This window comes from Homo sapiens, chromosome 20 (assembly GCF_000001405.40).
Source record: "Homo sapiens chromosome 20, GRCh38.p14 Primary Assembly".
Taxonomy (NCBI): Eukaryota; Metazoa; Chordata; class Mammalia; order Primates; family Hominidae; genus Homo; species Homo sapiens.
In genome coordinates, this window is record NC_000020.11 from 63,930,417 (window position 1) to 63,939,828 (window position 9,412).

Sequence of the window (9,412 nt, forward strand, 5' to 3'; positions counted from 1 at the left end):
GGCTCACTGCAAGCTCCACCTCCCGGGTTCACGCCATTCTCCTGCCTCTGCCTCCCGAGTGGCTGGGACTACAGGTGCCCGCCACCACGTCCAGCTAATTTTTTGTATTTTTAGTAGAGACAGGGTTTCACCGTGTTAGCCAGGATGGTCTCGATCTCCTGACCTCGTGATCCGCCAGCCTCGGCCTCCTGGAGTGCTGGGATGACAGGCATGGGCCACCACGCCCGTCTTGGAGGCTGCTTTTCTTTAAGCTGCGGGTTTCTTTCTGTCTCTCCTCCTCCCTTCTTCAGTTCTTTCCTTCTGCTTCCTGTCTGGAAGGCAGTATCCCCACCTGGAACGCACCCCCTGCCTTCTGCTGAGGGCATTTGGGAGTCCTGCGCCTCCCTCTCCAGGGGCCTCGGAGGCCATGCAACACCACCTTCTTCTCCCCCCAGGCCCTGTTTGTCTTCTGCGGCCTCCTCACGTGCTGCTACTGCTGCTGCTGTCTGTGCTGCTGCTTCAACTGCTGCTGCGGGAAGTGTAAGCCCAAGGCGCCTGAAGGCGAGGAGACGGAGTTCTACGTGTCCCCCGAGGATCTGGAGGCACAGCTGCAGTCTGACGAGAGGGGTGAGTGCCCGCCCCAGGGCCCGTGTGTGTGTGTGGGGCAGAGCCAGAATGGGCCCTGAATGGTGTCAACCTGTCTTGTCAAACAGGAGGGCACTGACACTGTGCCGCGAGTGTTTGTGGTGGCAGCTGGGACTGTTGAGGTGTGAACGTGGACCCTGAGGTAAAGCAGGCGCATAGAGCTGTCCCCGCCGTGACCTGCGGTAGCCGTAGATCCCAGGGACTGCGAGGCGGGGCAGGGCGGCAGGCAGTTGGGGCGGGGCTGAGGGCCGAGGGCTGGCGGTGACCCAAGGCGACGGAGGAAAGCCGTGTGGGGTGGAGGTCAGCGAGTAGCCTCTCCCGGTGGAGAGTTTGTCCAGGTGCCCGAAAGTCGCTCCACAGGACCAGCGTTGGGTGCGCGCCAGGCTGTGGCCCTCGTGCAGTGCCCTGTGTGCTTGCTTTTCAGAGGCCACAGACACGCCGATCGTCATACAGCCGGCATCCGCCACCGAGACCACCCAGCTCACAGCCGACTCCCACCCCAGCTACCACACTGACGGGTTCAACTAAATCCAGGAGGAGCTGTGGTCAGAGGAGGAGCCGGCGCCTGGCCACGCCAACCTTAGAATCATGAACTGTAGTCACAGAGATGGGAAGGCAGCCTCCTGCCTGCCCTGGCCTTGCTGGGGCCCCTCCTGCCTCCACGCCCACCCAGCGTCGACCCTTGACCCACGAAGTGCGTAGCATGCAGTATTTAAAGCAGTGTAGCTACGGTCTTCTGTTTTTTTCCCTTTTTTAATAGCATGTATGGGGTTCTGTTCCATGTCTGTGTTGTGGACATTCCGCGGCATGACCGCGTGAACTGCACGGTGGAGCTGCCTCAGGGCTGTCGGTCAGGTTGGTCCAGTGAGGGGTGACTGCAGCCGGTCAGGTGGGCGAGGAGAAGGGGGGCTGCCCCTTTCCTACCTGTGCTTGAGGGGCCGGAGGCAGGTGCTGCCTGGCAGAGCTGTGTTACCGTCTTGGCCTCGGGGTCTGGTCCACACTCTGTGCTCCCAGCCTTGAGGCTGCAGTAGGACTCTGATCTCACCTGCCAGAAGAGAGGCGGGGCCGCGTCCTCCTGGCGTCACCGGCGTCACTGTCATTCCTTGGTGTCTGTGCTGGGCATGGTTGGCTTGGGGGTCTGTGGTTTCCTGGGCCTTGTGGCAGGGTTTCTCCCGTGGGAGAATTTGGTGTGGAAAGCATAGGAGGCCCCTTCCGAGGTTGACACCGTGTCCTCCGCGGTGTTTCTCGCCTGGTCGTCTCGTCGTGTGGACGCTGCCGTTCTGGTTCTCGGAGGTGTGTCCTTCGCCGTGTTGGGGTTATTTGTCTGTGTTCCTGCACTTTTCCCGGGCTCTGAGCTGGATTGATGGGGCCAGTCTCCCCCCTCCCATCTTGAGGTCGTTCTCCACATTCCTTCCAGCACACCTGTCCTTTCCATAGCCCTTTTTGGACCTTTAGAACCACAGATGATAGGACCAGCCCAATGAGCCACAGTCAGAGAGTAGATTGTGCATGTGTGAGCACCCAGCTACTGGGGACGGGGGCTCTCCCACGACCCCTCCTCCTGTGTTTGCCAGAGCTCCCATCTGCCCCACTCGCCTTTGCCCCGTCATCGATGATTCAGGCAGAGCCAGATTCGTTAGGTCCCTGGAGGAAGGACTGACTGGACCAGAGGGACCCTCTGGCTCAGGAGGGTTGGGTCCCTGGGAGGCCGGCAGCCAGGCCACAGAATCCACACGTGGACCATTGTGGGTCCCTGGGAGGCCGGCAGCCAGGCCACGGAATCCACACGTGGACCATTGTGGGTCCCTTGGGAGGCCAGCAGCCAGACTACGGAATCCACATGTGGACCATGGGAAGTCAGTCTCTTGCGTGTCCTAGACCTTGTGGGTGGCGCCCTGCATAGGGGAGCAGGGGGAACGGGTCTGATGTCCCTGTGCTGGCTGAGGGCTCAGAGCTGCCCGCACTCCGTAGCTCATGGGATGTGCTGGGCCTGCCTTTGGCGCCATGCTGCAGACTCCAGTGGGCCTGGTTTCTGCAGAATGTCCATGGTGGCCGCTGCAGAGTTGCAGAGGTCCCTGTAGAGATAAAGCTGAGGAGGAGGCTGTGTGTGATGGCTCTGGCTCGGACCAACCAGATGAGCCTCCTGAAGCCCCCTTCCCTGCCTGCCTGCTGACCCGTGGCCCCAGCTCACTCATTGCCCTCAGCAGCCACCCGAGGCTGTGCAGAAGGGTAGGTTCAGGTTGACCAGGAAGCTGCCAAAAGGGACATGGATATGAGGATACATCTGGACGTGCTTAGGAACAGGGTGCTGGTTGAGGGCCCCCAGCTGACCCCTACTGCAGATCCGCATGTGGACCATGAGCCGGCTGCCAGCACTAGGTCCTGGGCAGCTTTGTTTGTCCCACTTTTCTTTGTTTCTTCTCACTAAAATGATCACGAAGACCTTTGACAAGAGGAGAGATATGCACTGTGATATTAAATTAGAAATAATTTATCAAAATCAGACCTCTCCTAAAAGAATAAGAAATTCATTGTTTGGCCCATCCTGAAAGGTGAGGTGGCGAGACAGTGGGGTGCCTCCGTGCCGCTTCGTGCAGCAGCAAGTTCAGCCTGAGATGCTGGCTGTACTCAGCCTTTGCAATTTTTGTAGATGTAGCTTAGGACGTGAGTTATTTTTCCGCAGACTGGCCAAGAGCCAGGTTCTAAGCTTGGACCTAAGGTAGAAAGCTGCCCATCGGGGGCCCTAGCTCAGCCCCACCAGGCCCTCTGTTGGGCCTGCACACAGCTCTGTGGCTAGAACACTCCAAGGCCCTTCGGTACCCATCAGAGTGGGCCCCTTGCCAGGTGGCTTTTCAGTTACAGAGTCCAGTGGACCATTTTGTAGAACCATGCAGCTCCCTGCGGAAGGTGGGGTAGGGTGGGAAAGAGGAGCAGGTCTGGAGGTTTGTGGAACCCAGTCCCCTGCAGAATCTGTAAAACCTAATAAATCATGGTTGTGGCCATTCTCACGGTGGTGATTGTGATTAGACGACCCCCGGGAAGCCCAGACACTCGGGGCCTGGAGTTCCTCCCCCTGCCTGACCTAGAAGCAGAACCGTTTTCAGCGCTCTGCCCTGTTGGCTTTAAGGCTTTGTCTTAATTTAAGGAAAAAGATCCTCCCGGGTTTTATTTCTCTCTTTCTTGAGTGGACTGTTTCCCTATAATTAAAAGAGGTGGTGAGTCCTGGGGCAGCTTCCGCGCCTCCCTGTCCACGTGCTAACAGATCAGGACGCCCCCAGCACCCCTGCCTGCTTTTGCTGGTGGCAGTGACGGGACCCCGACTCCTCACTCTCGGGCCGCAGACAATGCTGTGAGCAAGTGTGGCCATGGGCACAGAATGTCCCTTTGGACGCCGCTGCTGGGGGCTGCCAGGGGCCCTCTGGGGTCGTGCTTTGAGGCCCGTCCGGTTCACGAGGGGGTCCGGGCAGCACTGACTGCTTCCGACCTGCAGGAGGCGTAGGAGCGGCCCTGCGGGCCCTTTCACGGCAGCTGCTGCTGTATAGATTTGTCTCCACTCAGTGACGTGGGATTTTTTTGTCTTCCTTTTGGCTTTATTTTTAAACTGCTTTAGATATTACTGCTCAGTGTTTGTGAACTTTCCTAGTTCTCTATGTTGTTAGTGCAGCCAGCACCCAGTGGGGACCTACTAGAAAAAGGAACTGGCATGCACACGTGCCCAGCAGGAAAAGCTTCGTCTTCACGTCGGCTGCTGCCATCCAGAAGAGGCCCTGGAGCCTCACGCCGTCGAGGCTGCTCTCAGGCGTTCTGTTCCGGGCGAGGCTTGTGCTGCAAGGAAGGGCACCAGCATGCAGGCTGCCACTGGAGGGTCCGGGTGCTGCGGGCAGAGTTCAGCGCTTGTCCACCCTCCCTTAGCTCTGACTCAGTGCATCCTACTGTGGGGACATCTCGTGAGGGGACACGAAATGACTGATCTCACCCTTTCCCAGTATTCAGAGCTGTGAACCCCTGTGGCGCAGGACTGGCCTGTGTCTGTTATTTTGGTTGTAAATCATTCTCCTGTGGAATTGGCAAAAGCTACATTTTTACTGTCCTTACCAGCAACAGTTTGCGTCGTCACATGCTGTGAGTGTGGGCTGTGGTGTGTCCGTGTGTGTACATATGTGTATATGTATATATCACGCAGCAGGAGTGTCATTCATGCTGCTGTCCCCTGGTGAAGTGACAAGTACAATTAAAGGTGGCTCTGAAATGGCCTCTGGTTTCTTGGGAGTCGGGCAGGGACCTGCAGGAGGCTTTCCCAGCAGGTGCACAGAAGGAAGCGCTGAGCCCACTGTGTGCAGAGGGTGTGTGCCCAGGGCACTGCCACGGCCCCCACCAGCATTGGCCTCTGCTCTGCAGGGTGGGGTGCCCATCCTGGGGGCTGTGTGTCATGCTCACCTGACCCAGGTGTGTGTCCCGGTGTGAAATCGAGGAGGGGACTGGAAGCCCTTCCCTGCCTTGAAACATGAAAGCTGATTTTCTGAGCAGCAGATACGGTCAGTGGCAAAGCTGCATCTGAAGGGCGGCCTGGGAAGGGGCCCTGTGCTGGCCCCGGGTCCGCCCCAGAGGAGTCCACACAGCACCACCTCCAGAAGGGGCTGGGCCCGGGGTCCTGCAGGCGGCACCTTTTGGTAGAGTTTGTTTCCCTGGAAAATGGGGAAAATGTTTCAAGCCAGGTGAGGGGGGAAGTTAACACTGAAATATGTATTGTTTTTAAAAATCAAATGCACACGCATGGAAGCTGCTTGTCCATGCACTGGTTTTGTCACTGGCGTCCTGGAATCCGACCGTGTTGGGGTGCAGGCGCTGTCAGACTCCGGCTGATCCTGGCTCGAGCACACACATCTAAGGGCCAGGCTGGTTCCGCATGGTGATCTCCGTCTTGTATGTCTGAATGTTGGCCTAAAATAAAGATTACTGTTGTAAAATAAATGTTTTCACTGCGGACCCCACGTATGTCTTACTCGCTAGTCCCGCAGATCCCTGGTTTTGGAGAGCAGCAGCTGATCTCAGCCCTCCACACCCCTTGCGGCTGGAACCTTGCTTCCCTCCTGCCTGGTCCAGATGTGGATAAATGCCCCCTCCTCTTGATTGTGTTTTCACCTCCGTTTTCTAAATACCAAGACTGGAGCAAAGAGGCCAAGCGTGGTGGCTCATGCCTATAATCCCAGCACTTTGGGAGGCCAGTGTGGGAGGATTGCTTTGAGCCCAGGAGTTCAAGACCAACCTGGGCAACAGTGAGATCGTGTCTCTACAAAAAAGAGTTTAAAATTATCTGGGTGTAGCCGTGCCTGAGGTCCCAGCTCGTCAGGAGGGAAATCACTTGAGCATGGGAAGTCCACGCTACAGTGAGCTGTGGTCACACCACCGAACTCCAGCCTGGGTGACAGAGGGAGATCCTGTCAACAAACTAACAAAAACTCAGAATAACGTAACAAACATCTTGAAATCCTCTATTCTGACTTAAGAAAAACGAAGGAAGGGCCAGGCATGGTGGCTCACGCTTGTAATCCCCAGCACTTTGGGAGGCCGAGGTGGGTGGATCATGAGGTCAGGAGATCTGAGACCATCCTGGCCAACATGGTGAAACCCCGTCTTTACTGAAAATACAAAAAAAATTAGCTGAGCGTGGTGGTGCGTGCCTGTAGTCCCAGCTACTCAAGAGGCTTAGGCAGGAGAATCGCTAGAACCCGGGAGGTGGAGGTTGCAACGCACCGAGATCGTGCCACCGCTCTCCAGCCTGGGTGGGAGAGCGAGACTCCGTCTCAAAAAAAAAAAAAAATTTGAGTCAGATTTTCCATTTTAAAAAAATGGCAGCATCCAAGACCGTTTTGCGTCTCTCCCCATTTCCATCCTCTGCTTCCATAGCTTTAAACTCTGTCTACCACTGTCAGGTCCAGTAAGACGTACTATTGGTTTATACCTTTTTACATAAATTGTACTACACCATAGTACTGAGTACACCACCTGCCTTATGAGTTTGTTTGTTTTTTTTTTTTTTGAGATGGAGTCTCGCTCTGTCACCCAGGCTGGAGTGCAGTGGCGCGATCTTGGCTCACTGCAACCTCCGCCTCCTGGGTTCACGCCATTTAGGAAAACGCATGCCTCACCCTCCCGAGTAGCTGGGACTACAGGCGCCCGCCACCACGCCTGGCTAATTTTTTGTATTTTTAGTGGAGATGGGGTTTCACCGTGTTAGCCAGGATGGTCTCGGATCTCCTGACCTTGTGATCTGCCCACCTCGGCCTCCCAAAGTGCTGGGATTACAGGCATGAGCCACCGCGCCCGGCCTGTTTTTGTTTTTGAGACGGAGTCTTTGTGGCCCAGGCTGGAGTGCAGTGGCACAATCTCGGCTCACTACAACCTTCATCTCCTGGGTTGAAGTGATTCTTGTGCCTCAGCCTCCTGAGTAGCTGGGATTACAGGCATGTGCCACCACGCCTGGCTAACTTTTTGTATTTAGTAGACGGGGTTTCACCATGTTGGCCAGCCTGATCTTGAACTCCGGACCTCAGGTAATCCGCCCGCCTCGGCCTCCCAGGGTGCTGGGATTACAGGCGTGAGCCACTGCACCAGGCCTAAGTTTTTCATTTGATACAGTAGTAGTTAAGAAATCAAGCCGTGTGGTTATATTAGGTCTGGTTCATTTTAGCTTCTGTACAGAACAGTCACGAATTAATCACAGTCGGTCCTGGGCAAACTGACCACAGGTTTTTAGTTTCTCACTGTGGAAACAAAGCTGCCTGAATGTCGCTGCTGAGTTGTCTCGGGTGGGATCGCTGGGAGCGGGATCTGGAAGCCTTCCCTTGACTGGTGGCCCCACACTGCCCTGCAAAGAGGCTCCCCATCTTCTCGCTGCCCCTTCTAGCCTTAGCGTTGTCAGACGTTTTTTTCTGGCTTGGTCTTTGAATTTTCTTAATTAAGTAGAATCCACGTTTATTAAGTTCAGTTTTTTTTTTCTTTTTCCTTTGAGACAGAGTCTTGCTCTGTCATCCAGGCTGGTGTGCAATGGCGCGATCTCGGTTCACTGCAGCTTCCGCCTCCTGCGTTCAAGCGATTCTTGTACCTCAGCCTCCCGAGTAGCTGGGACTAAAGGCGCGCCACCACGCCCAGCTAATTTTTTGTATTTTTAGTAGAGACGGGGGTTTCACCATGTTGGCCAGGCTGGTCTCGAACCTATGTAGGCCTCCCAAAGTGCTGGGATTACAGGTGTGAGGCAGCGCGCCCGGCCTATGTTAAGTATTTTATATATGGGATTCTTACAGAGAAATGTTAACAGCAAGCCGAGCACTGGACACTGGGTGGCGGGCAGCAAGACCCTTGCCAGGGAGGGTTGTCGGCCCTGTTTCTCCTGGTCCAGGGGACCGCGGTTAACAGGCGCTGCGGCAAAACTCTCCGTCCGCCCAGCGCCCCAGGAATCTCCTCCGTCTCCAAGACGGGGTCGGACCACCCTCCCCGCTCCCCCCGGCTATGCCTTCCTTGCGCCCCGCTCTCCGTGACCGAGGAACGCCAGGAAGGGACCACTTCTAGCGCCAGCCCCGCTGCTCAGGGTCGGGTGGGGGGCGGGGCCAGCGCGGGGGCGGGGCCGGCTCAGGGGCGTGGTCACTCGGTGGGGCCCAGCGGGACCTGGCCTACCAGGCGGAGCGGGGGCTGGGCAGGGGCGTGGCCAATCGGGACCGGTGGGGCGGGCGAGTGGCGGGAGCGCTGCACCCGCAGATGGGCCCCCCACGTGGGGACCAGCGCCCACCCGGCCTGGTCGCATGGGCAATGGGAGACCCCACTGCAGCGCAAGGTCTCGCGGCATCTGGGAAGACCGGCCTTACGCCGTCCCTCCCTTCGTCAGCAGACCCCTGTCCAGGATCCGGGATCCGGCATAATCGAGGTGCCAGGCTCCGAGGACGCCACGCTTTTGGCCGTGGACTTCCACGCAGAAAGACACTGGCGCCTGAGAGGACGGGGACGACCGTGTCCCGTGTCAGATGCGCCTGGCCCACGGCTGAGTCCCCAGCATCAGCCCTCAGCTCCACGGCTGAGCCCCGGGAGGCTGATTCAGTTATCTGGGCCTCTCCGGGGCCCGACGTGTGGGCGCCGCGCGTGCACCTCCTCTTCCTCAGTAAACCACGGCGGCGACTCCTCTCGGGGAGCCCGGGGGGGGCCTGCTCGGAAAGCAGGGTGGGCAGGACCTAAGGGAACCCACGCTTGCGGGCGTGGGCACGGCAGAGAGCACGGGATGCGGGTGGGCCTCCAGGTCTGGAGGGGTGAGCGAGGCGGGCCCTGAGCAGCAGTGGCTCCGGGCTCGTGGGCCCCGGGTGGCCCCGCCTCCAAGCGCAGGCCCCCACTTCCGCCCTGGTCTGCCTCCTGGCTTTGCTGCCTCCAGCGACTTGTCCTGACGGGAAGGACCCTCCCCCCCCCCAACTGTGGGGAGGACCCTGATGGTACAAATTTGTGGGTGGGGGCAAAACAGCCTGCCTCTTGTGAGACCCAGAGCACCAGGGGGCCCTGTCCCCTCCCTAGGTCCAGGCCAGGTGGCCACCAAGCTATGGGTTCTAGGGGCCCCATCTAGCAGAGCTAGGAGCTGCAGGGCCCAGTTCTACCCCTTCCTTCATCTGGCACAAGTGCAAGACTGGGAATGCTTGGTCCTGCAGGGGAGAAGGCAGGGCCCTCAGCTCCCTCCCTCCCTCCCCATGGGAGTCTCCACAAATGCATGCCTCAGCCAGGACACCTCTCCTGTGCTGTAACCAATCACACC

General features: G+C 57.8%; 1 protein-coding gene across 7 annotated transcripts in view, besides 1 other annotated feature; it reads left to right on the forward strand.

Moving 5' to 3' along the window:
* Positions 1 to 5,595, forward strand: part of DNAJC5 (DnaJ heat shock protein family (Hsp40) member C5) — a 40,886-nt gene extending 35,291 nt beyond the window's left edge. For all 7 annotated transcript variants that reach the window (XM_047440509.1, NM_025219.3, XM_047440511.1 and 4 more), the window contains exons 4-5: positions 435 to 606; positions 1,049 to 5,595. In XM_047440509.1, coding sequence (XP_047296465.1) covers positions 435 to 606; positions 1,049 to 1,152 — 276 coding nt within the window. In that variant the 3' untranslated portion in view covers positions 1,153 to 5,595. The remainder of the gene's footprint in view (positions 1 to 434; positions 607 to 1,048) is intronic.
* Positions 1,820 to 2,321: an enhancer, noted in NCBI's record as "H3K4me1 hESC enhancer chr20:62563589-62564090 (GRCh37/hg19 assembly coordinates)". NCBI's record gives its function as "activates a minimal SCP1, AML or CMV promoter by ChIP-STARR-seq in primed H9 embryonic stem cells {active_cell/tissue: H9 hESC(primed)}" and the evidence as "EXISTENCE:reporter gene assay evidence [ECO:0000049][PMID:30033119]".